This window comes from Homo sapiens, chromosome 1 (assembly GCF_000001405.40).
Source record: "Homo sapiens chromosome 1, GRCh38.p14 Primary Assembly".
Classification (NCBI taxonomy): Eukaryota; Metazoa; Chordata; class Mammalia; order Primates; family Hominidae; genus Homo; species Homo sapiens.
The window spans coordinates 39,822,529-39,849,227 of NC_000001.11; the positions used below are offsets into that span (position 1 = coordinate 39,822,529).

Consider the following 26,699-nt stretch of genomic DNA (forward strand, 5'->3'; position numbering starts at 1 on the left):
GGAAAAGAAACAGACAAATACTAGTATTTCAAGATGTTTTCCTATTACACATAATCAAATAATTGAAAATCCAGTGTAGTAGGATCTCTGGTTAGGGGTGATGGAGTTTAAGGGCTGCAGTGAAGAAAGCAGCGGACTCACCTTGCTGTGGTGTTGGGGACAGCTTGGAGGCCAGTGCAGAGGAGATGATGCTTGAGCTAGGCCTGGAAGGGATGGGTAACAATTTCCAGGGAAACGAGAAGGTGGGTTGGGGGAGAGCACTCCGGGCAGCATTAATGAGACTGAAAGAACAAGGACTAAAGAAGGAAAAGCTAATGATGTGCAAAGCACTGTTTGTTTGTTTCATTTATTTATTTTATTTTATTTTTATTTTTTTGACATTGTGTTTCAAAGTGTCCCCAGTCTAGAGTGCAGTGGTGCAATCATAGCTCACTGCAGCCTTGACCTCTTGGGCTCAAGTGATCCTCCCACCTCAGCCTCCCGAGTAGCTGGGACTACAGGCACACGCCACCAAGTCTGACTAATTTTTGTGTTTTTAGTAGAGACAGGGTTTCGTCCTGTTGCCCAGGCTGGTCTTGAATTCCTGGGCTCAAGCAACCTGCCCACCTTGGCCTCCCAAAGTGCTAGGATTACAGGCGTGAGCCACTGCACCGGGCTCAAGCACTGTTTTAATAGATACTTTTAAAGTATTAATTTAATCATCACAACTTTTGTGGGACTTTTAAAAGATGAAACTGAGGCACAGGGTGCTGGGCGTGGTGGCTCATGCCCGTAATCCCAGCACTTTGGGAGGCTGAGGCGGGCAGATTGCTTGAGCTCAGGAGTTGGAGACCAGCCTGGGCAACACGGCAAAACCCTTTCTCTACAAAAAATACAAAAATTATCCGGGCTTGGTGGTGCGTGCCTGTAGTCCCAGTTACTTGGGGGGCTGAGGTGGGAGGATTGCTTGAGTCCGGGAGGTTGAGGCTGCAGTGAGCCAAGATCTTGCCACTGCACTCCAGCCTGGGTGACAGAGTGAGATCCTGTCTCAAAAAAAGAAAAAGAAAGAAAGAGGGAGAGAGAGAGAAAGAAAGAAAGAAAGAGGGAGAGAGAAAGAAAAAGAAAGAAAAAAAAGAAAGAAAGAAAGAAAAAGAAAAGAAAGAAAGAAAATAAAGAAAGAAAGAAAGAAAAAGAAGAAACCAAGGCACAGGCATGTTAAGTTACTGGCCCAAGAATTCTAGTTTGGCAAGCTGAGACCCAAGCCTGAGATGTGTGGCCTCAAGGCTGGGCACGGTGGCTTACGCCTGTAATACCAGCACTTTGGGAGGCCAAGGCAGGTGGATCACTTTGGGAGTTCGGGAGTTCAGGAGTTCGAGACCAGCCTGGCCAACATGGTGAAACCCTGTCTCTACTAACAAAATAAAAATTAGCCAGGCCTGGTGGCATGTGCCTGTAGTCCCAGCTACTCAGGAGGCTGAGGCAGGAGAATTGCTTGAACCTGGGAAGTGGAGGTTGCAGTGAGCCGAGATCACACCACTGCACTCCAGCCTGGGCAACAGAGCGAGACTCTGTCTCAAAAAAAAAAGAAGCTCTAAAAGCCTCAGGAGCTCTAAAAGCCACACTATTCTCTGTATTGAAGCATGGAAAATAGCTTTGTGATGGCAAGTGGGGGATTTGGCTGAAGGAGTGAGCAGGATAAAGACCTCAGAAGACCTCACACACCATCTAAGGCACTCAGACTGGAGGATCCTGATGATAACAGGGAGTCAGTACAAACGCAGAATCAAGAAAGAGACACAGAAGATGCTATTAGAAGGATCATGGGTTGAAGAGGGTAGGACCAGAGGCGGAGACCAATTAGGAGGCTGTTTGAACAGCCTAGAAGGGAGATGACCTGGCCTGAAGAGCAATGACAGCTGGAACAGGTGAGTTCTGGAATGGTAAGTGGTCAGGATGGTGTGGAAGATGTCCACATCCTAATCCCCAGAACCTGTGACTGTCATTTTAAATGACAAAAGGGACCTTGCAGATGTGACTAAATTAATGATCTAGAGATGAGGAGATTATTTTAGGTTATCCAGGGGCCCAGTGTAATCATAGGGGTCCTCCACAACAGTGAGTAGGAGGAAGGCAACATGACGGCAGACACAGAGATCCAAGTGATGTGGCTATAAGCCGAGGAATGCAGGCCACCTGGAAAAGCTGGAGGGCGGGGAGTGGACTCTCCCCCAGAGCCTCCAGAGGAACTGACCCCGCCGACAGCTTAAGTTTAGTGCACAAAATTCGTTTCAGATTTCTGATCACCACACCTGTAAGAACGATCCTAAATTTGTGTTGTGTTAAGCCATAAAGTTTGTGGTTAAGAGTTGTCCCTCACTATCTGTGGGGGATTGTTTCCAGGACCCCCTAAGTATGCCCAAATCCATATACTCAAGTCCTGAAGTAATGGCAGGTACATGTGGAATCCACTGTATACACAGGCCTCGCATCCTGCAAACACTGTATTTGTGATCTGCAGTTGAAAAAAATCTGTGTCTAAGTGGACCCATGCACTTCAAACCCTTGTTGTTTAAGGGTCGATGGCATTTGTTACATCAACAATAGGAAGCCAATACAGATGGTTAAGACTTTGTGACCAGGTGGTTATCAAAGAAGGAAAGGGAGGGGTCCCAGAAAGGGTTGAGGAAGAGGTGAGGATTTTGGCTTGGGTGATGGGGCTGGCAGTGAGACTATTACAATCAGGACTGTGGATAGTGAGGAGGGGGTGGTTGGGGAATGGTGGGATGGTAACGTGTCCTGTCTTGGACATGGTGAGTCTGAAGTGTGCATGGGACATCCAGAAGGAAGGTCTGGAACCTAGGGCAGAACTTGAGAGTGATCAGTACACACAGGCTCCAATCTGAAAACTGCTGGGAGAACATGTGGCCAAGGACATGGGTTTCCTTTTTTGGCTCATACTCTGTGATGTGAGACCAAAAGTCTCTCCTAAATGCAGCTGTTGGGCACTTAAACCACCCTCCTAGCACCCTTCCTTACTCACTTCCCTCTTTGACAGTGAATAGAAGCCACATAGACTCTTCCGAGGAGTACCCATGTGTCACTTCTGGGACAGGCAGCCTCACTCCTGCCAGGGCCGTGCAGGGCAGTCCACAGGCCAAAGGTCCAAGTAGATTCAGCGCTGCTGAGTTGCTTCTGGGTAAGCTCTGCTGGCTCCTGAAGAGCCACCCCTGTCCCACGGGTGCATGCGAAGACGCTTTTTAGTGTGTGAGCCAGTTTAACTCAAGCTATACCTGTGGACAGCACCAAGGTATTTCTGATAGTAACAGAAATATCTGAGGGGAATTTCCCATGGGTCAAACTGAACATGCAAGCACTGAAGACAAAGGGCACGGGATAATAGTCACATATCATTAAAAAACAAACAAAAAAGCCTGCTCATCCTGCAGAACAGGTGGGAGCCAAAGCCTGAGAGTAGATGAGATCATTCAGGGAGGGCTTGCGGCCCAAGAGCAGAGGAGGGCCCAGGAAACCGATTTCTCTAAGGTGGGCAAAGTGAGGGACGGGGACCATGACATGTTCATCTTCATATACTCAGGGCTGATACACAGTAAAAACTCAAAGGATGCTTGATGAATGAATTCATTTCTATTTTATCTTCTGTAGGATATAAAAAGGAAAGAGGCCGGGCGAGGTAGCTCACGTCTGTAATCCCAGCGCTTTGGGAGGCTAAGGCAGGAGGATCGCTTGAGCTCAGGAGTTCGAGACTGGGCAACATGGCAAAACTCTGTTTCTATAAAAAAATACAAAAATTAGCCAGGCACTGTGGCACATGTAGTCCCAGCTACTCGGGAGGCTGAGGTGGGAGGATCACTTGAGCCCGGGAGACGGAGGTTGCAGTGAGCCAAGATCGTGCCACTGTACTCCAGCCTGGGTGACAGAGTGAGACCTTGTCTCAAACAAAAACAAAAATAGAAACAAAACAAAGGAAAGAAAGAGAATGTGGGAAAATGCAAAACCAAAACCCAAAAAAAGAAAAAAAAACCAGATACGTTTATTATCCAATAAACTGAATTGAGTATTTAAGTTTGAAACTGGATTCTACCCAGAAAGCACTTAAAATGTAAACAACATGAATATAAAGTTATCTTAGGAAAATGAAAGTCTGACCAGGAAATAAATGCAAAATCAGTTACCTTTAAGATAACCTCATAGGCCCATAAAACTAGAAAAAACAAGGCAACAAGGCCCCCAGCTGGTGAGGCTGTGGGGAAGCAAGGGCTCCACCAGCCCCAGATGAGAACAATGTGGCCGTCGAGGCCAGGAGCCCGGAAAGTGCACACCCTGGAACAAGGAGCCTTGGGGGTAAACATAAATGAAATGCACTTAGGCGAAAATGGAAATTTTTACAAGGAAATAGAGGTATCTCAGGAACCCAAGGAAGCACACTAGGCCTCAGGAGGGTCGGGACCGAGGAACTGGGAAGTCAACAGGAATCTCTCTCTCCTTTCCTCATCTGGGATTCCCTCCTGCATTGTCTGCTTTTCTCCTTCTCTGAAGATCAGCCTTCTCTGTTTTGTAGTGCACCCATTCATAACAACAAATAGTTATTTCGTGTGTATGACCAAACACAGTTCTTGTATTTCTCTGTTCAAGTGTACCCAGCTAGGACTGAGCTGCAATTTGAAATTCCTGGGAGGAGTGTGATTGGCCTGGCTGGCCCTCCGCTGGTCTAATAAGCTAGGAGGCAGGGTAGTCATTCCTTTATGAAGTTATGATCTCTGATTCCTTTTTCCACAGGAAGATAAATCAGTGAATGTGATAAGATAAGATGGGGAGGGGATGCCCCAAGGCAGAGAGACAGCTCAAAACTTCGAGCTCCAGGCGCTGGTTCCAGCCAGAACATCCCGTTAACCTTTTTCCTGCTTCCACAGTCCACATCCTTGTTATGCCTTTACAGTCTATTTTCACAGAGCAGCCAGACTTATCTTTTAGCGTGTAAATCAGATCATATTCCTCCCCTCACTAAACGAACAAACCAGCCAGAAAACTCTTTAACTCCTTCCTTTAATAAAATCCAGGCCTGGCGCAATGGCTCTCGCCTGTAATCCCAGCACTTTGGGGGCCCGAGGTGGGTGGATCATTTGAGGTCAAGAGTTCGAGACCAGCCTGGCCAACATGGTGAAACCCTGCCTCTACTGAAAATACAAAAACAAATTAGCCGGGCGTGGTGGCAGCTGCCTGTAGTCCCAGCTACTCGGGAGGCTGAGGCAGGAGAACCACTTAAACCCAAGAGGTGGAAGTTGCAGTGAGCTGAGATCGTGCCACTGGACTCCAGCCTGGGTGACAGAGTTGAGACTCTGTCTCAAAAAAAAATTTTTAAATTAAAAAATAAATAAAATAAAATCCAAAGTCCTTATCTAGTGCCTGGCTACTTCTCTGACTTTGTCTTTTACAAATCACCCTGTCATTCACTCTTCTGTAGCCACACTAGCCTTCTTTCTAGCTTGTAAATATGCCCAGCCCAATTCCTATCTCAGGGCCTCTGCATTTGCTGCTCCCTCTACTCCATCTTCTTGTATGACCAACTCCACATCATTCCAGACTCAGGTGATGCCACCTCCTCAGAGGATCTTCCCTGAGCAACCCATCTGGAGTAGAACCCCCACCTCAGGCTGGGCATGGTGGCTCACACCTGTAATCCCAGGACTTTGGGAGGCCAAGGTGGGCGAATTACCTGAGGTTAGGAGTTTGAGAACAGTCTGGCCAACATGGCAAAACCCCATCTCCACTAAAAATACAAAAATTATCCGGGCATGGTGGCAGGCACCTGTAATCCCAGCTACTCAGGAGGCTGAGGCAGGAGAATTGCTTGAACCTGAAAGGCAACAGAGGTTGCAGTGAGCCGAGATCACGCCACCGCACTCCAGCCTGGGTGACAGAGTGAGAACGCCCACCTCAGCACACACACACACACACACGCACACACACACACACACACACACCAATAACTCTCTACCCTGTTTTTCCATTTTTCATAGGACTTCATACTGAAATTTTCTTTATTGCTTGTTACTTGCATTATTTTCTTTCTCCCTATGAGAATGTAAGCTGCATTTGGGCAGAAACCCTGTCTGTATTTTCCCAGCAGCAGAGCTAAGCCTGGCACTTAGTAGACACCAAAAAAACACTTGAATGAATGACTGAACAATTTAATTTCAATGTTATACTGAGGCAGCACAGCGCAGCACTTCAGAGCAACGACTTTGGGGCCAGACCACCTGAGTTCACCAGCTCCCCATCTCCTGCCTGCATAAACTTGCACACATTGTCTTACTAATCTGTGTTTCAGTTTTGCCATATGGAAAATGGGGTGGAGGGGGAGGATAGCAGTACCCATCCTTCAGTATTGTTATGAGGATTAAATGAGTTCACACATGTAAAGGGTTTGAAAGGGCTTGCCACAGAGCAAGCACTCAACATGTCCTCACTCTTATTATTCACTATTAATCATGAGTCCACTCAGTTGAATTATCAAAATTCATCTTTCATTGTTCTGCCCTCCATAGCTCCTCTTTTATCTTATTTTCATGTCTTTTATCAGTTTCCTGTGTTCTGGGAGACCATCTGAAGTTTGTTTTCTTTACTAAATTGATCTTCTGTGTTGGACCTGGCATTCGTTGCTTCCATGCAGTTTTAATTCAGCAGCCATGTCTTTAATCTTCTCCTAATCTCTTCTTATCCCAGATTATTCCAGTTGTAGGATTGCTGGTTCTAAGTGAATTATGTACCATCTTTTGAATCCTACTGAAACTTCAATCAGGTATCACCTACATTTTCTTCTATTATTTGCAACAGGTCTATTTTCAGAGGTAGGTACTCCTCTAAATCTTCAGAGAAAAGCTAAATCACAGTCTCTGCAACTGCAGACTGTGCCTTACCTAATCCTTCTGGAAGGAGGTCTCTACAAAGGGTGACTGATCATCTTGGTTTGCCCCCACTGAGGGGTTTCTCAGGACATGAGACTTTCAGTGCTAAGACTAGTAAATCCCAAGCCAAACAGGATGACTTGGTAACCCCACCTGTAGACAGTGTCAAGGAAGAGCTGTATTATATTAAGAAAAATGGTCTTCCAAATCTTTCACAAAAGGAGGAAACCATTTTCTAGTATTTAGAATGACTAGCTCCTTCCAATTAGCATTTTAAAATGTGAAAGTCTCTTAGAAAGGGGGAAAAAAAAAAACCTGCTTCAACCCCAAGCCTCCCTTTAGCAACCCCCTCTCCTTCCTTTCCTAACTTAGACACTCACCACTTTCTCTCCTCCCATTCACTCCTCAAACCACTGGAATATGGCTTCCATTTTCTAACCCTCAGCTGACCCCTCTTTTACCAAGGTTACCACTGATGTCATCACTAAGAACCAATGGATACTTCTCATTCCTTATTGTGCATGGCCCCTACACACTTCCCTGCAGACCACTCCCTTCTCAAAGCTCTGTAAAATGCTCTGTTAATGTTCAAGGCTCTGCTCTAGATTGTTTCTCTTCTCACTACACCCCCTGCTCGAGTGACCTCATCTTCCACGGCTTCAAATACCGTCAATACTGATGACTCTGAGATCCCTATCTCCAGCCCAGAGTGCAATCTGGGCTCAACTCGAATATCCAGTTCCATGAGGATTCTCTACAGATGCCTCAAACTCCCCAAGTCTCAAACTGAACTCATCCTCAACCCAAACCTGCTCCTCCTCCAGTGTTCTTATCTTGGCCAAAGGACTTGGCCACTGTCTAATCAACTGTTCAAGTCAGAAACCTCAGCCTCATTCCTGACCCCTTCCCTTCCTTCACCTCCAACATTTCATCAAGTCCTATAAATGCTACCTGCTAAATATCTAAACTGTCCCCTGCCTCTAGGCTGTCTGCAGCCAATCCATTCTCTGCATTGCACCAGAGTGATCTCTCCAGGAAACACGTCTGATGTTTTCTCGGGATTCATGGTTTACAGGGTCCTCTATGACCTGGGTCCTGCAGACCCCTCCTGCCTTTTCCCCGAACACTCTCCTACCTGGCTCCTGCCCATTATTCTCAGGTTTTTTGTTTGTTTGTTTGTTTGAGATGGAGTCTCACTCTGTTGCCCAAGCTGGAGTGCAGTGGCTGATTTTGGCTCACTGCAACCTCTGCCTCCTGGGCTCAAGCAATCCCCCTGCCTCAGCCTCGTGAGTTGCTGGGACTACAGGCACATGCCACCATGCCTGGTCTCGAACTCCTGACCTCAAACGATCCCCTCACCTCAGCCTCCCAAAGTGCTGGGATTACAGGCGTGAGCCTTGGTGCCAGGCCTCATGTTTTTTCAGATGCCATTTCCTCAGGAAAGCCTTCCCAGACTCTTCTAGAACGAGTCAGGTAAAATCTTGTGTATTCCCTAAACGACTCTATTACAGCATTTATCATATTCACTGGGATAGCATGCAAGACTCCAGCTCTCTGAAGACAGGAACTGTCTTGTTCACTGATATATCTCTAGCACCTAGAATAGTGAATGATAAGCACTCATTTAAGTCTGTTGAATTAATAGGTATTCCTAATTATAAAGCTGTTTGACTCCTAAAGTCCTCTACTTGCCTTCATATTAGTCCAGAACTGGTTCAACTTACCACGTACCTGATGAAAAATACAACTACTTTTTAATTCAAAATAACTAGAAGTGGCATAATCCAGTAAAAAGAACACTACTGCTAAACCAGGAGACCAGGGTTCCAGGCATAGCTCTGCTACTTACTAACTCTTTGTGTTGCTGTTGGTGACTTACTTAACCTCTCTGGGACTCACTTTCTCTGTCTGCTCAATTATGTGGCTAATCTGGATCAGAGATTTTCAAAGTGTGTCCCACAGCCGGGGGGCGGGGAAGGGGGTGGGCACTAAATCAGAGGGACCAGAAGACTGTGCACCCTACCCAGACCTGAAGCCAGTCTAGTTCAGTATATATTATATATTGCAATTCATGTATGACTTGGGAGAAGGAAAAAAAAAAAAGGATCCACAGCTAAAAACAAGTTTGAAAACAACTGAAACATGATCACCGAATTCTCTGCACCCTTTACATGCTGATATTTAAAACAACAGAAAGCCACGAATGTAGTAAGAAGGTAGTTTTGCCGGGCACGGTGGCTCACGCCTATAATCCCAGCATTTTGGGAGGCCAAGACGGGTGGATCACCTGAGATTTCAGGAGTTCGAAACCAGCCTGGCCAACATGGCGAAACCCCATCTCTACTAAAAGTACAAAAATTAGCCGGAGGTTGCAGTGAACCGAGATCGCGCCATTGCACTCCAGCCTGGGCGACAGAGAGAGTCCATCTCAAAAAAAAAAAAAAAAAAAAAAAAAGAAGGTAGTTTCTAAAAAGCACTTGAAGAGTCTGACTGCCAAAGTTCAGAGAGAGTAAGCTGACACTTTTGTCTGCCATCAGGAACCCACCAGTCTCCAAGCAACTTGACTTCATTATGCAGATCCAGCAAGACACAGAGACATTTTTGAATCCACAAATAACTTCTATGTAAGTCTTTATACCTTGGAGCCGGACACAGTGGCTCACACCTATAATCCCAGCACTTTGGGAGGTCAAGACGGGAGCATCGCTTGAGACCAGGAGGTCAAGACCAGCCTGGGCAACATGGCAAAACCTCATTTCTACAAAAAAACAAAATTACCTGGGCATGGTGGCAGGTGCCTGTGGTCCCAACCTCCCTAGGCTAAGATGGGAGGATCACCTGCGCCCAGGAGTGCCACTGCACTCCAACCTGGGTGACAGAGTGAGACCCTGTCTCAAAAATATAAAAAGTCTTTATACCTCGATCCCCTTCATATTAACAAGGAGGCTCAGGCAGAAGGCACAGACTTAAATGGTTTTCCTTTATGCCTTGCTTTCAGGTCATTTGTCACTTCACTTCTGGTGACTCAGAGTCTGACCCCAGCCTCACACTTGATAATGCACCATGCACGGTTCTTGCAGAGATAGGGCCTTCCTTTTGCATGGGAAGTACTCGGTAGTTACGGTGCGCTAGTCAGGGTTGTAGTCAGAGGACCTGGAGTTCTCTCATCTGCCACCTACTCTGTGTCACTGCTATGGACACCTATTATTTGGTCTACTCAGCACCAATCCCATCCCTGCCCTCTTCCTGAAAACTCTCGTGTTCCCTGGCTTCATTCTATCATACTGTTCTACAGGGAGGGCCATGTTCTTAGATGGTACGCTGTCCTTCTTAATCCAAGGGTAGACAACAGAATTCAGCTCTACTCAATTGCGTCTTTTCCTGGGGCTTTTAAACTTGGGATTTGGTCCACTTCTTTTCAGTGAAGAAAAGCTGTAAGATGTGAGGTGTGGCAGCTTCCAATGACCACGACCACGTGAAGAAAGCTGGTTTGCATGGAGAGAAACGTGAAATCGGCACGCTGAGAAGAGATGAGGCAGTGCTGGTAGTGTCTGAGTCCTTGGGAGCAATTGTTCCTGAGGCCCAGCTGCACCTTGCCTGTCCTTTCAGGAGAAGCTCAGTTGTTTGACTTTTAGATTCCATAAGCCAACAAATCGTCTTTTATACCTAAATTAGTTTAAACTGGCTTTCAATCCCTTACAACTGAACTAACACCAACCCTGTGTTAAGTCACTGAAATACTGTGAGTCTGTTTCTTCATTTGTAGAAACGACCTCAAATGTTTTTGGCAAATACTAACAAGATATGTAGTTTTGTTAAAACCATACTGGGCCATAAATTTCTAAGGAATGACTACTACAGATATCTCATGATGAAGATAATGGCAAGTACCACCCAGAAGGCATATGGACTTAGTTAAGCTCAGCCCTGCTGCTAGAAAACCAAGTGTCTTACTGACTAGCAGACAGCAACTCCACAGTGGACACAAATGCTTGTCTGCCCAGGTGCCCTCCCCTCCTACCAACCCGCTCACCCTTCTCCTCTGGGAATCACTCCACCTCCACTCCATCCTTTCCATGGGAACTGTCCTGTCCTTTCAGGAATCCATCTCCAGACTGGCTGATGGGCCTCAGGATAAGCACTAGACTCAAGCTGGGCTAAAAGATCCCTTTCCTGGGACTTTTACTTTTAAAAAATGGTGGTAAAATTCACTTTTAAGCTTATAGTTCAGTAATGTTAAGTGTATTACAGTATGAAAGTGTATTAAGTAGTTTTAAGCGTATAGTTCAGTGGTGTTAAGCATATTCACATTGTTGTGCAACTAATTTCCAGAACTTTTGCATCTTACAAAACTGAAACTCTATCCCATTAAACTTCTCCATTTACCCTTCCCTCCACCCCCAGCCAACACCATACTGTTTCTATGAATTTGACTATTCTAGATACCTCATGTAAGTGGAACTATACCATATTTGTCTTTTGGTGACTGGCTTTTTTTTTTTTTTTTTTTGCTTTGCTGCCCACGCTGGAGTGCAGTGGCGCCAAGGCTCACTGCAGCCTTGCCCTCCCGGGCTCAAGCATCATCTCACCTCTCATCCCCGAGTGCTGGGTAATAATTCTTTTATTTTTGTAGAGGTGGGTCTCATTCTGTTGCCCAGGCTGGTCTCAAAACTCCAGGCTCAAGCAATCCTCCCACCTCAGCCTCCCAATGTGGCATGAGCCACTGCGCCCGGCCTGACTGGCTTTCATGCAGCATAATGTCCTCAAAGTTGTAGCATGCGTCAGAACTTCCTTCCTTGCTAAGGGTGAATATTCCATCATATGTACTTACATTTTGTTTATCCACTCACTCTTATTTATTTTTGAGATAGGGTCTGCCTCATTCTGTCACCCAGGATCTGGAGTGCGGTGACACAATCACAGCTCACTGCAGCCTTGACCTCTTGGGCTTAAGTGATCCTCCCACCTCAGCCTCTTAAGTAGTTGGGACTACAGGCACACACCATCACACCCAGCTAATCTGTTTATTTTTTGTAGAGATGGGCTCTTACTGTGTTGCCCAGGCTGGTCTTGAACTCCTGGGCTCAAGCGATCCTCCTGCCTTGGCCTCCCAAAGTGCTGGGATAACAGGCACAAGCCACCATGTGCAGCCCTTAGATTCACTTTTTTTTTTTTTTTTTTTTTTGAGATGTAGTCTCACTCTGTCGCCCAGGCTGGAGCACAGTGGCGTGATCTCGGTTCATTGCAACCTCCACCTCCTGGGTTCGAGTGATTCTCCTGCCTCAGCCTCCCAAGTAGCTGGGATTACAGGCCTGCGCCACACCCAGCTGATTTTTGTATTTCTAGTAGAGACAGGGTTTCACTATGTTGGCCAGACTGGTCTCGAACTCCTGACCCCAGGTGATCCACCCGCCTCAGCCTCCCAAAGTGCTGGGATTACAGGTGTGCACCACCACACCCGGCCTAGATTCACTCTTGATGGACAACTGGGCTGCTTCTACCCCTTGGCTATTGTAAAGAACGCTGCTATGCAGAACAAGGGTGTATCTCCCTGAGACCCTGCTTTCAGGTCTTTGGGATATATCCCCAGAGGGGGGACTGCTGGATCATATGGCGGTTCCCTTTTTAATTTTCTGAGGAACTGCCATACTATTTTCCACAGCAGCTGTACTATTTTACATTCTCACCAACAGTGCAAAGGGTTCCAATTTTTTCACATTCTTGCCAACACTTGTTATCTTCTGGGTTAATTTGTTTTGTTTTGTTTTATAGCAGCCATTCTAATGGGTACGGGGTGTCCTAGGGCTTTTGAACTTAGAACCAGAGAAAACATCCGCACAATCTGTCCCCAGTTGTCAAGGCCATAAGAGGTGAAACACAGGTGCTACTAGCAGCCCTGTCTCCTGCCATGTAGAGAAAGCCTGTTTACAGTGAGAGAGGAGTGAGCTGATTTGCAGAGAAAAGAGAAAGTCTCTAAAGCCTCAGATTGGGTAGTACAAGTTGTGGCTGGAGCCTAGATACTTTCCTGCCCTTGAATTTGATGAGACACCTCATTAACCCAATCATAAATCCACCTTTTTACTTAAGTTAGAGTTGTTTCATTTGCAACCATGATTCTTGCCATAAACATCTTTGTACAAGAGTTAGTTCTTCAGTCTTTTCTTTTTTTTTTTTTTAACCTTTTCTTCCTTTGATTCTTTCTTAGAAGTAGATGGGATATAAATAATTTGTACATTCAAAAACCCTAAATTTGTACATTCAAAAACCCTAAAGAAATGCCCTTGCAGAAGTAGAGGGTTGTGGTTAGAGTATGAGTTTGGAGTCAGCCCAAACTGGCTTCAAATCCTAGCTCAACAAATGTTTATGGGATGTGTTAACTAACTTGATGGTGGTATAGATAGATAGATGGATAGACAGATAGATAGATAGATAGATAGATAGATACACACATACATATATACACATATATAAAATCACTTTATATAGTTTAAATATATATAATTTTATCTGTCGATTATATCTCAATAAATCTGGATAAAAATAAAAGGCTGACTTCAAGTAAAAAAACAAAAACACAAATAAGTGCTTTTAAGCAGCAGGCCCTTGTAGATGCCAGGGATAAAGCAGTGAACAACAGACAAACATCGCTGCCCTCACCAAGCTTTATCTCTGCTACTCGGCAAATATTTGCATGTTTACTCTGTGCCAACCACTGTTCATTAAGCTGTGTTTATAAAATGGTGATAACAGATTATCTTGTCCGTTTGTTTTAAGGAATCATTATAACGTATGCATGTGCTTGATATAATGCCTGACACACAGAAGCACTCAACACAGAGAAGCCATGTCTACGTTTAGACAGGGAGGTGTGTCTTGCAGAAATTAGCCTCGATATACATTGGGTGCCCACTATATGTTCCACAATCATCTTAAAATAGTACTCAGATCCTGGCAGAATTTACTTTCCAGTGGGAACAAGAGATAAATAACAGGTGCTATGAGCTGTGGCAAAATAATGAGCCAGAACAGACTCTGGAGCCACCCACCTATTTTCAAATCCCAGCTTGCCCTTGGGAAAGTCACCTAACTGCTCTACTCAGTTTCCTCAGTTGTAAGACAGAGACAACAAGAACAATGACAAAACTACCTCATAGGGCTTTGTGAGGATTAAATGAGTTAATATGTGTAAAAGTGCTTAAAGCAGTGCCTAGCTCATAGGACTACCTAAGCACCAGCTAATGTTAACACTATTACGTATTAACTGCTAGGAGGAGAAATTAAGTCTCCCTAGAGTCAAAGAAGCTTTTTCTAAGGAGAGGACATCAGATCTGGGCCTTGAAGGATGTGCAGGAGTTCACTAGGTAAAGAGCAGGGGAAAGGACATTTCAAGGGAAGAAAACAGTTCAAGCAAATGAGCTGACCCATGGAAGAAATCATATCATTGAAACAAACAAAACTTAACAGCTGAAGCCTAGGTGGGTGGCAGCTGAAGCCCGAGGCACCGTTTCTGGCCATTAGTACTATAGTCCACCAAACTAGTCAGTCTTAAGTCAGAGCTTGCCCTGATAACTTCCAAGAAATGATACCATATCATAAACCAACATTTTAATAGCATTAACAATTTTTCCCCAATGAAGCAAATAAATCCAATTTGTACTTACCATTTACTGGGCACTACAGTGCCAAAACACTATGCTATTTACAACAGGACCTCACTTAATCCTTACCATGTCCCGTGGAATACAGATAACTTCATTTTATACATGAGGAAACAGGCTTTTAAGCAATATTCCCAAGATCACACAGATAGTATATTAGAAAGTAAAGTGTTCAGCTGCAAATACAAATAGTGGTTTCTTTCTCCCCCTGTCCCCTCCCTGCCACATAAAGTCTGAAAGTAGGCAGTTAAGTCATTAGTTCAGTTATTCAACAATGCCACCAAAACACCTTCCATCTTTCCTCCCCACCATCTTTACAGTATGAGCCACTGGCCCTGATGTTTATACAGTCTCCCATTCCCTATAATGCTTTCTTATTCTCATCTTAAAGTCCTACCAGCCAGGATTTTCTCAAGCTTTACTTTTTGAAATATTTCAGAGGTCAGCTCAATACAACTCACTAATTTCACAGATGGAGAAATAGATTTGCCCCTAGCAAACTGAGTTAAATTAATTAGTTAAATGAGCCTGGAATTGAGTGCTCCTTCCATGATACCAATCTAGTGGTGACTGTAAGTTGCCCACCAAAACCTGTCCTCCCATTCCTTCTTGGCACATGGCTTGACTACGTTTCTCAGCCTTCCTGGCAGGTAGGTGTGGCCATCGGGCTAAGTCATTGCCAATGGAAAGTGAGAATGTAGGCAGAAGTATCCGTGCCACTGCAGGGTCCAGGCCTTGAGGCAGCGGGTCTACCTCCTCCCTGTTCCTTTTCCCCTTCCCATCAGCTAGGACCAGTGATGACCCAGCTTCAAGCATGCAGCAGATGAGGACAATGCTCCAGAGGATGGAGAAGCAACATGATACGAGGAATCTGTGTCCCTGAATGACCATTTGGTGCACAGCTGCCCCAATGACCTGGATCACTCACTTCAGACAGGTTAATTCCCTTCAGAGCTGTTACGTGAGAAAGAATAAACTTCTTTGTTCTTTAAGCCACTGTATTGTTGAGTCTCTTTGTTATAGCAACTTAGCCTTTTACCTGAACTAATACAAACATGCAGCTTCCTTTGTAAGCATTCAGAGTAGCTTTACAAATAACCAGTTAGCCATCATTTTAGAAAACAGCCTTAACTGCCCAAGTAGGTGATAATCAAATACAGAAATTCCTGCTGGTGGCTATCCCAAAATTTCTTCATCCTGGTTAAAAAGTATTTAACAATTGAAGCAGATCACTTATGTAGAGACCTACTTAGTTTTTATGCTTTCATGCAATTGATTCAACAAATATTTGACTGTGTCTAGGTGCTAGGGATATTGACAAGTCACTGCATTCATAAAAGGTTGATTTCATGCATGTGTGTTTGGGGGAGGGGGTTGTTAGTTTTATTTTCTTTTTGAGCAACATGGTCTTGCTCTGCCACCCAGGCTGGAATGCAGTGGCATGATCATGTTTCACTGAAGCCTCAATCTCCCAGGCCCAAGCCATCCTCCTACCTGAGCCTTCCACGTAGCTGGGACTATAGGCATGACCCACCATACCCGGCATGCATACATATATATATATGTAAGTATGTATGTATGTATATATTTGTGCTGACTGGGTCTCACCATGTTGCCTAGGCTGGTCTCAAACTCCTAGGCTTGAGTGATCCTTCTGCCTCAGTTACCCAAAGCGTTGGGATTACAGGCGTGAGCCACCACTCCCGGACTGTTATTTTTTAATGTTATACTGGGTGTTTTGTTTTGTTTTAAGCAAAAAAATCCTCTTTGGAACTAAAGAGAGCTAAGAGAGGACAAAAAATTACTGAGAGTTAGGAAGGATCAAGCCATATTCCTGGAATACAGATGAGCTGTTCTCTTGCTTAGCCCTAAGAATCAAGCAAAGTATTTTCAAGTCTAGATCTCTCTTCAGAATCAAAGTACTTTCTACCCACTTACAACAGCACTGCCTGAACTGTGAGAAGTATCTAAAGCCTAATCAAGATTTTTACTGACAGAAGCAGATGAACCTAATAGCTCACTGAGTATTGGAATTAATTGCCAAAGCCATTTAGATAGCACTGCTGGTGTGATGGACTGGAGGCTCTGGATACCTGGACTGGAGGGCTCTGCTTGCCTTGGGATTGCTATGGCCAGATGGTACAAAATGGCATTCCTCATTCTCACTCCAGGCTGAGCAAATAGCCCAAAGCTCTATGGTACTTTTCAGCTCTCAAATGAGATTTGGTATGAGATTTAGTAATAGAGTAAGAAAGGTGATCTAAGGTTTGTCCCAGCTTTGCCTTGCTCTGTGACTGGAACATCCATGTTTTAGGCCTCAGTTTCCCCATCCATACAAGAGATAAAGAATTCTTTCATCTCTACATTTACGACCACCACAAGACAAATTACTTTCCTTCCCTACACTCAACAGCGAAGTCATTCATAGGGGAGCAGGCACAAAAGGGGAAATCTACTCAGGGCAATGCTTCAGACCAGAGCACCAGGCAGATTTCTAGTGAGTGTTCTGCCTTTCCCAGGCTCTTTGCTGCTGATAAAGGAATTTCATTTGGCTGAATTTACAATTTCTAAGAATATGAACAGTGGGCTCAACCACACTGCCTTACACTTAGTAAGTGCTTCATAAATATTAGACACTTTTTTTTTGGTAAAAAAGGCCTGATTTCCAATTGCCATAGAGATAACAATGAGTTCAATGAGAAGTTACTGCTCCAGGTATTTCAGATGGAAGGATTAAAAGCTTTTTGACGTACAATTATTAAAACTAGTTTTTCCTGCTTGTCTACTGAAACCTTTTTAGGCTTTAAAACATACTTAGCAACTTGAACGAAGAATATTTCAGAGAAACTAAAGGTTCTTCCCTACAAACTGCCAGCTTAACACAGTGCTTAATAGCTTGAGTCTACCAGCCTCACCTCAATTCCAGCTCTACCGCTTGCTAGCTGTACTCCATTGCTGAGCCTTAGTTTCCTCCCTGGTTAACAGCAAAGGAAACAGCATCTCCCTCCCAGGGCTGTGTGAGAAGATAACATATAAAAACGACTTGGCACTGCTTGGCTCACAGTAAGTACTCATCTCCACTCCCACCGGGAAGATGTGGCTTCCCACCTTGTTAGGTCCTAAAGTAGTTAATAAACTTCTTTGCCCAGAGAATAAATTTATTTTTGAGATTCAAATCAGTTAAAAGTGGGTGAGGCTCTGGAATTCAGCACTGTTTAAAAAGGTCAATCAAGTTAGATAGTTTTTTTACTCTACCTTCTCCTCTATGAAGTCTTATATGCATAGGAAACAAAACATTTATCAAGAATTGCTTTTCAAGGTGCAGCAGAAATGCTCCTCCTTCCATGATCCCTTCCCTTCCTTCTAAACTGAAATTCTACACAGCTCTTACGGCCTTTGATACTGTCTTGCCTGGATTGGTGTTTGTGTACACATGCAATTATTTATAAGCTCCCTGAAGGCAAGAACCACATCTCATCTCTGCATTCCCTTTAGCCTAATTCAGGGCCTCTCATAGAGTAGATTCTGCACAAACAAAATGTATTTGAATGGGGAGTTAACGCTTAAAGGGCACAAAGTTTGTTTGGAGTGACAAAAACGTTTTGGAAATAGTGGCAACGATTGCACAACATTGTGAATGTAGTTAATGCTGCTGAATTATACCCTAAAAATGCTATATTTGATGTTATATATAAATAAGTATCTGTTTAACATTGCTGGCAGCTCAGGTCACTCCAGAAAGAGGGCTTCAATTGGAAGTAATAGATCTCCAATAAAAGACCCTCTCTAGATGTCTTCAAGGACTATAACGTGTTAAATAAACACCCGCTACATAAATGAACAGACAGCATGATCTACAAAAAGTGTCAAATTTGAGAAAAAGCTATCACATTGATAACAGAGCATACTGTGTATAAACTAGGCATGGACTTGTATATCTTTTTAAGGATCAAAGAGGCTCTTGTAAATTTTTTCTTTATTTAAACTTCAATAAAAATATAGATTTGTAACTCAATAGAAAGACAGCAGTGATAATAACTCACACATGAGCAGCTCGCAAATTTCAAAGTCTTTGGTCTTCAAGTCCTATGTCACAGCTTCCTCAGTCTGATTCCCTCCTTCTCTGTAGAATTCTGAGAACTAGTTTGGTTCACTTAATCATCTCAATGGAGATGGCCCTTTCCTGCCATTCACTCAAATCTAGAACTCCCAATATGTGGCTCACAAATACTTCAGTCATCTACAAAAGCATCTGGAAATTAGATAATTTTAGCCAGAGTCAGGGACATAAAACTTCTTTAAAGGGATGCAGTCAATCCTGGTATTCACCACAAAGAAGATCCTCATGTATAAAAATGTGGAATCTGTGCTGCTTTTAATAATAGAACCTTTAAGGTTCAAAGAAAAAAAAAATGCTTTCCTGAACTACATCATTTCCAGACACATCAGCCACACAAGGAGCTGACAAGACCTGCTGTTTCTATTATAGAGAACGTGAGACTTTAAAACCACATCAAAAGAAAATGGTGGGAGCTTTTCTGCTATGCAGAGAATTCCGCATAGCACTCCTTTGCCCAGACTGGGAGACAAACATACCCCTCCCTCCTGAACTGGATCCCCACCACCTTTCCAAAGGCCACTGGACATGTCTCTTAAACGCTGCATTTCAGCTCTTGATCATTCTGCCCTGGGGATCCCTTCTCTTTAGGTTCTTTGTTATGGTCTGGGGAAACACTCTGACTTTCTATGGTGTTGACAGCATCTGAGTCCAATCTTCTTCTTTTCTTCAGTTGGTTCAAGTGGGATTTGGATTTTATGTGCGCTGATAAGACAAAATCAAACCAAACAAACAAAAAAACTCATTAGGAATTTTCTAGAATTAATCCTAGAAGCAAGTAAAATTAACTATACAATGCTTTTCTTCAACAATAAACAGCAAGATCAACACATGTACTAGTATAGCTGCTTAGCATTTTTAAGGGAAGAATAAATTATATGGCCAGCCAGCTAGCAAAATAGAGTGAGCTACCACATATCAAGTGCTCCCTGTTAGGTACTTTACATCACCAATCCTCATGGCAGTCTTGTAAGATGGTACTATTCTGCTCATTTTATACAAGGGAAACTGAAGTTCAGAGAGGTCTTACAAAATGTCCAAGGTCACACAGCAGGTAAACTCTTCTACTTAGACCTATAGCTCCAAAAAGAGATCCCACTTTCCAGAATCAGGTCTCTGTAGTATGGGGCTTCCTGTTATAGATGCATTTTTAACTTGTAAGGTTGAAAAGTTAGAAATTCAAATCCTCATCTGTATTGCAGGGCATTGCCTGTTGTCCTTCCTGGTCTGGCATCCCTGTGCCTGGGTCAAAAAGGTCATGTGAACGACTCTCTGGCAAGATTCCTATTCTCTAGGCACACACTGCTCCAGGGAGACAGGAAGGTGCATTTATCACCGACGATCTCTTCTGAGGGTCCAAGAAGGAAGTCAAGCTTTAGGGCCACTGTTGCCTGCTATCAACTGCTGACCTGTCACCCCTAAGACAGTTCCCACCTTCTGACTAACTCATACAGATTTATTTTCACTATCCTGTTCTTTTTTCAAGGAAATCTCATCTGGGAACACTGAAAGAGATGGACAACTAGTTTAAATTCTCTTTTATACATATTAAAAACATCATTTTTAAGAGTTTAGAAGCAAGAATAAGTAAGGTAGAGGTTAGAATTAAGAGAAAAGTTTACTTGGGGAAGAAGTCAGCTTTGTTTTCCAGCTAGAGCCTAAGGCAAAAAACGGGCTTCTGGGCTGGCTCTCCATGGCAGCAGGAGATGGGAGTAAGGACTTGACAGATGGCACTACAGAAGGGCTTACACAAGCTAAGCTCACAAAGGCTCACACATGTTGCTTCTCTAAGGCTATCCCTGAAGAACATTCAACAAATCGAACCACTAAGTTTCCTTTAGAAAAAAACAATCAGACACTCTCTTTCTCTTCCCCTTTCATCATTATAAACCAATGACAATCGAGGCTTCTTCTGCTGGTTGGGCAATCACAGCCGTCCCCAGTCTCTGACAATGGAGTTCATTTTGCCAGTTACCAGTTAATAGACCTAATCATCCTATTGGTTGCTTTGGGGAGAAAAATCTACTTCTCTGAGAATCCCATGCAAAACAGTACTCTGAACAGAAGGATCCCAGCTGCTGAGTAAACGACAAGCCCCACTGTGCCTGAAAGCAGCAAACCTTACACCTATTTCTAAATACCATGTAAACTCAAGGCTTGGGGAAGAAGTCCTGGGCTTTGACTGGATGACTACAGAAATCTGAAAATCCAATGATGTGTGTGCAGTGTGACTCTGTGGCAGAGGCAGATCCAGGCTCTAATGCAGGGATAGAGCCTTAGGGTGGGGCTGGCCCTGAGGTGGTGGGGAACTAACCTTCTTTATACATGTGTGACAGGCTTACTTTCACACAGTTTCTCTTAACTTCTTTTTATCACAGTTTTAGCAACTACCACTATGCCAACAATTACCTCAAAAGTTACTGAAGAGATACCACTTTTAAAAACCACACTCAGGAGTAGTAACTCTACTTCCTGCCCCCTCCCAGCTATGCTTCTGCTTCTTCCAGTCTCCTGGATGAGCTGCCTGGCTTCCCTTACACCCTTACTTCCTGATCCCACCCCCACTGAATTATAAACATGAAAGGCCAAGAAACTCCTCCAAGCCAGGACCACAAAGTCAAAGGAGCTCTAGAAAGTTAACTGCAGATCTCTTAGTATAAAATATTAATTCCAGCTGAAGATGGAGAGCATCTGATCTTCCTCTGAATCTCAGAATACAGAGACAAATTCCCAGAAGCCTCCAAGGAATTTGAGCACAGGCTCTTAGAGGAATCTAGCTGTCCCTTTACAAATAAATAGACTCCAGGTTCAATCTGCCAAAGACTCTAAATTTCATGAAGTCAATGTGAACCCACCCTTATAGATTTCTTCATGCCCCTCCCCATACTCTACCTGCCCATTCGCGATCCCCAATGATGATTCGATCACAGAGGTCACACAGGTGATAACTTCTCTTGTTCTCAGCTTCATTGTATGGCATCTTTATTGGAGTGGCTGTAGGCTTGTGGCCCTAAAAGAACAAGGGTGGAAGGGAGTATTCAATTCAAAGAGATCTGGATATAATTCTCTATTAAGGGAAATGGGATTTTCCTAAAATTCCTTTTTCTCAACCCAGAGAGCAGATGGGCTGTATACAGATTTTAGCAACAACCTTTCTGAATGTAAAAGTAGAAAAGCAGTCTCCAGGTATTAAAAAGCAGCCAGCCCTTCTGCTTTATTCTATGGAAAAGAAGGCCTGGTTCTTCAATATAGCAACAAAGGTGTCAGCTAATGAAAGTGCTCTGAAAACCAGAAAATAGAATGTATCATGATTCATAATTACCTGGATGAAACTTTGCACGATTTCAAGAGCAGGTTCAAGAACAGACTCTTCCCACTTCGAGACATCAGATACCTCTAAGCCATAGACAGGGGGGACAATGGGACCAGGTCCTAATGATGACAAAGAAAGGTTGTGAGAGGTCAGCCTCAAACCCAATCTATTCTGCAGCCAGGACTCTGAAATCCTCCAGGGAAATACACAGAGCCAAAGGAGTAAACATTCTGACCATGCTGTTAATTCTAACTAAACATGAACCACAATCCAAGAAAGACCTAGAGGTTTAACTGCTCTGCAGCTAGTAAGACTAGCTACATAATCTGGATACATGGGTGCAGGATCTTCCAGATCAGCCAGAAAACCAGAATAGAGTTAACAGCTCAAGTGACCATTGTGTGAGCTACAACACAAAGACAGCACATCGTAAGAAGAAATAAACTAACAGCTTTAAGTAAGTGCCTATTCTAAGTTCCATATCATCTTACAATGATGGCGATCTGTGGCAAGAGAATTCACAGCTTTCTTTAGGAGCAGATACTAGTCTCGGGTTTGCATATATTCCCTCAGCGGCCTGGGACTCATGAAATGCTCTGAAAGCATGGGCTGGGAACAGAATCATATCAACCAATAAGCCGCAGAATCTGCGAACCAGAAAGAAGTCTTAGAATTGATGTAGTTGAGCAACTTCTTTTAAAAACCTGATCTAGAGGGTATTCAAGAAACACTCCCTGGCAGACACTTTTGAATGAAGATGAGACTGAAGGTAGCAAAGAGTGCAGCTACAGGTATTTCACCCACCTGAGCCAACCATGTTGCAAGAGTTTAGTCTCTGTGGTTAGCTTCCCTGCCTATATACACACTAAACTGCCTTCCACAACTAGGTTAAGTCAGTTGCCTAAAGGCAAAGGAGCATCGCCCATGGGCAAAAACATCAAAGGCCTTCGGATGCCAACGACTGGCAGGTGCTGGCCTTTTGATTGTGCCAACCCCAAATAAGATTCTTCATAAACTGGACTGGGCTGCACCTGCTACCACAGGAAAGGTGAGACTAGGAGGGTGCAGGCAGCATCCACAGCACACCTGGCCTTGGCTAAGCTCTGCACCTGTTTCCAGGCCACTCTACATTTTCCTTTCTCCTCTAAGCCCTTTGTTGGGCTTCTGTGCCCTGTCTAAGCACCTTTCAACAAGTTCTCGGCTCCCAGCTGCTATTTCTGGCTTGGGTCCAAGGCCATGCTGGGGTGGGGAAGTCCCCCTGGCTTCCTGCCAGAACCATATCCCAGCAGACCAGCCCTGGCCAATCACGCACAGCTCCTGATTTACAGGGCAGCTGTGCCTTTCACTCCAGCACCAGGACGATGCCGGCATACACACGAATGAGGAACAGGCATATGACACACTGTGCCATCAACTCCTCCTACCACAGAGATGGAGGAATTATTGTGGTTTTACTACAGGAAGAAGTTCTAAATTATTACCCAAAAGTCTTCTGTTAAAGGCTTATTGTCAGACATGGGGATAAGAGAAGCTGCATTAGAAATTTGTAATACAGCACTGAGCTTCAACTTCAGATGACACTAAGACTTCTATCTACCAGGACATGCAGAGAAAACAGGATAAGTAGAGGAAAGCACAACAAGCCTCTTCACACCAGAACTCCACTGGAGAGCTCAGGCAGAGAGTGGGAGCTGGGAGAAAGAATGTTAGCAGTTTAGTGGTCAACAGCAGGGATCAAGGTATGTATTTTCAGAGGCACCGAGTGGGGCAGAGGCTTCAGCTGGCCCTGTCTGTAATTGAGAGCAGAAGTCTACCAGCAAAAGGTAAACACAAGATGATTCAGAAGCATATTTAAAACATGTCCACAAGATAAAACTGAAGTTTCACTTATGCTTAAATTAATCTCCTTTAGCTCATAACCACATAGTTTTTACCCATGGTCCAATACTAATGCTGTCTTGCTAAAGTTACAGCTAAAGGAAGTAAGAGTAGTATAAAGGAGTGTGGACTCTGTGTCAGGCCTGCATTCAGTTATCTACTGCCGACTAGCTGGGTGATTTTTGGCAAGTTATTTAACTTCACTAGGCCTTCATTTTCTTATCTGTAAAAATAAAAGAATAACACCTACCTTGAAGACTCAATAATATATGTATAACACCAAATTTAGTGCCAAAGACACAGTACAGGGCCAAATCAATGAGAATTTCCTTTCTTTTCCCTCAAAAATGCTGTTCAACTAAAGTTTCATTTGAAGCAATCTGAAGCACCATGTGGAGACGCTGGGAGAAATGGTGAAGGTGTCTTTTTATACAACTCATCTGGCCCCCCAAAAACACTGTAATTAGGAAATCTTCCCTACAGAAATCTGACTGCTCTTCAGGTACAAAACTGAAGCTAAAAATCAGCCCTGAACACCAACTCTCCAAAAAAGATGCTGCTGTTCTTCTTAGCTGTTTGCAGCCAGTATCCATCTGTTCAAGGCAGAAGGCAGACTCCTCAATGCAAATAATTTTTTTTTTTTTTGTGACATCCCAAGAAAATATCCCTGGATAATCATTTATGTTATAGAACTTCCCTTAGGTCAGATCCAAAATCTTAGAACAGGCCCAGAATCTAAAATTCATTTTCTGGGTGAGCTGAGGACATCTATATTCTATTGAAAACAGACCCATAGGATAAAGAAAAACATGAGACTTACTGCTCAAAAAACGGTTTTTAACCCATCGGTTTTGTTTCCGGGCATATCTCTTAGTTACTTGTTTCAGAGCCTCAATACCTGAAAGATACAGTAGATTTAAGAACATCTAGGTAAGCACTCCTTACCCTGCAGAGAGGCAGGCCCTCCCAGCCCAGCAGGAAAAAGTCAGCCACGGCAGTGCAATGTCAGACTTGGTGGACAAAAATCTCAGTTCTGAGCTGAAGGCTATTTGGGACGCTTTAAGCCTTGGCTCTTTCTCAGACCATACCAGCAGAGTACCCTGCCACCCAAAGATGTCCAAGACTAGATTAGATGGAAGAATTCACACCTTTCTTTAGAAGCTGGTTACTAGTCTCCAGTGTGCATTTTCCCTCAGTGATCAGGTACTCGTGAAATTCCTTGAAGCCAATTGATTGGAAGATACCATGTTGATAGTCCTGGCTGGGAACAGGAGGGTATCAGCAGATAAGCCATTGCTCCTAAAAGCTAGCAGGGGCTTTGGAGATGGACCTAGTTGAGCCATTTCATCTGTCAGATAAGGAAATTGAGATCCTGAGCAGTTACTGATTCTCTGAAATTTTCCCCTCCCCTACCCACCAGGTTACTTTCTTGAAAAGTTAACTCCTGGGACTGTCTGAAAGATTAAAAAACTGCATCTGCAAAGAAGGCTGATAAACAAGTAGACCCAAAGCCAGTATTAGCGTTATGGTCTTTTGATTGTCTGCAAAATATGGACAGTAGGTCAGAATAACAGCCAAATCCTCACCTATTTTCCGAAACATTCTTCTGATTATAGCGTCTGTGAAAATCTCTTAGTTCCTCCAAGAGCCCAGCAGCAAGCATGTCATCCACCCTCTTATCCAAGCGCTCATCTAGAACTTGAATCAAATTAGCCCATCAACCAGCAAGCAAGTTGTAGGTACCTACTATATACTTACATGACGAGTGAACAGGTGGTCACAAAAAAAGAGAATTTGTCCAAACGGAAGAAAGAATTCAGATTCCAAAGATTATTATAATAATTCATACGTTACTCACATTTAAGACTTTGCAACTCCAAATAAAAATGAAGCATAGTCAGAATGAAGCACATGCCTCCTCATTATATAGAGAAAGCATACAATTACAGCAACTGTGAAGGACAAATATTTTATTCTCATATGGAATGTGTTTTAGAGGTGGCTGAGGATCCCCTGGTTTACCTTTCTTATTTTTAATTTAATATGTCATTATACTGCAACTTAGTGTTACTTTATGTTTAAGAACCCCTAGATGACACCTTGGATAAGAACATGGAACTTTAATCCAAAGACATCCTAGATACGGCCGGGCAAGGTGGCTCACGCCTGTAATCCCAGCACTTTGGGAGGCCGAGGTGGGTGGATCACGAGGTCAAGAGTTCGAGACCAGCCTGACCAACACAGTGAAATCTGTCTCTACCAAAAGTACAAAAATTAGCTGGGCGTAGTGGCGCGCGCCTGTAATCCCAGCTACTTGGGAGGCTGGGGCAGGAGAATCGCTTGAACCCGGGAGGCAGAGGTTGCAGTGAGCCGAGATCGCACCACTGCATTCCAGCCTGGGCAACAGGGCGAGACTCTGTCTCAAACAAAAAAAAAAGACATCCTAGATACATTCTAAACTACTGAGCCAAGCAAAGGAGCAAAGAGTGAGAGGTCGTAATTGTTCAGATGTGACAAACAGCTTTACTATGAATCAGATACCATTATTTTATGCTGCCTGTAGAGTAAAAGTTTTTGTTTATAAAATTTCATTATTGAAAAATTACCTTTTTTATCAATTTATGGCAGATTAATTTAACAACAGATTGTCACCATTTTAATTATGTTCTTCTACATCTCTATCATTGTGATTTATTGGCCTACAGCAACAGTAACCTTCCTAGAAAGTTTGCATTTATTGAGGACCCGTCATGTGTCAGGCACATTCTGAGCACTATATATGTATTAATTCATCTAATCCTTGATGAAGCTAGGAAATATGTGTTATT

General features: G+C 43.7%; 1 protein-coding gene and 1 long non-coding RNA gene across 20 annotated transcripts in view, besides 3 other annotated features; one reads left to right on the top strand and one right to left on the bottom strand.

Annotated features, from left to right (window-relative positions):
• Window positions 1-1,617: 1,617 nt before the first annotated feature.
• Window positions 1,618-15,427, top strand: LOC105378667 (uncharacterized). Of its 2 annotated transcripts, none has more exons than XR_947221.3 (4): window positions 1,618-1,904; window positions 3,035-3,175; window positions 9,443-9,529; window positions 15,349-15,427. It is a non-coding gene; the product is annotated as an uncharacterized LOC105378667 (long non-coding RNA). The 2 variants fall into 2 exon arrangements; XR_947222.3 differs by lacking the exon at window positions 1,618-1,904 and adding an exon at window positions 2,639-2,669.
• Window positions 14,375-14,575: a silencer, noted in NCBI's record as "peak189 fragment used in MPRA reporter construct". NCBI's record gives its function as "represses an SCP1 promoter by STARR-seq MPRAs in K562 erythroleukemia cells {active_cell/tissue: K562}" and the evidence as "EXISTENCE:reporter gene assay evidence [ECO:0000049][PMID:32103011]".
• The window catches only part of TRIT1 (tRNA isopentenyltransferase 1), a 45,402-nt gene continuing 34,284 nt past the window's right edge, over window positions 15,582-26,699 (bottom strand). For 6 of the 18 annotated variants that reach the window (NR_132409.1, NR_132408.1, NR_132407.1 and 3 more), the window contains 6 exons: window positions 25,458-25,569; window positions 25,020-25,132; window positions 24,692-24,769; window positions 22,003-22,112; window positions 21,573-21,690; window positions 18,503-19,385 (listed from right to left, as the gene is read on the bottom strand). Coding sequence is in view for 4 of the 18 variants with exons in the window: in NM_017646.6 (NP_060116.2) it covers window positions 19,216-19,385; window positions 21,573-21,690; window positions 22,003-22,112; window positions 24,692-24,769; window positions 25,020-25,132; window positions 25,458-25,569 (701 nt within the window). In the remaining 14 variants the exon portion in view is untranslated. Of the gene's footprint in view, window positions 19,386-21,572; window positions 21,691-22,002; window positions 22,113-24,691; window positions 24,770-25,019; window positions 25,220-25,457; window positions 25,570-26,699 lie in introns of all 18 variants that reach the window. The other 12 variants (NR_132412.1, NR_132410.1, NR_132406.1 and 9 more) reach the window with 8 other exon arrangements.
• Window positions 23,453-23,502: an enhancer, noted in NCBI's record as "active region_821". NCBI's record gives its function as "activates an Ori minimal core promoter by ATAC-STARR-seq in GM12878 lymphoblastoid cells {active_cell/tissue: GM12878}" and the evidence as "EXISTENCE:reporter gene assay evidence [ECO:0000049][PMID:35858748]".
• Window positions 23,973-24,062: an enhancer, noted in NCBI's record as "active region_822". NCBI's record gives its function as "activates an Ori minimal core promoter by ATAC-STARR-seq in GM12878 lymphoblastoid cells {active_cell/tissue: GM12878}" and the evidence as "EXISTENCE:reporter gene assay evidence [ECO:0000049][PMID:35858748]".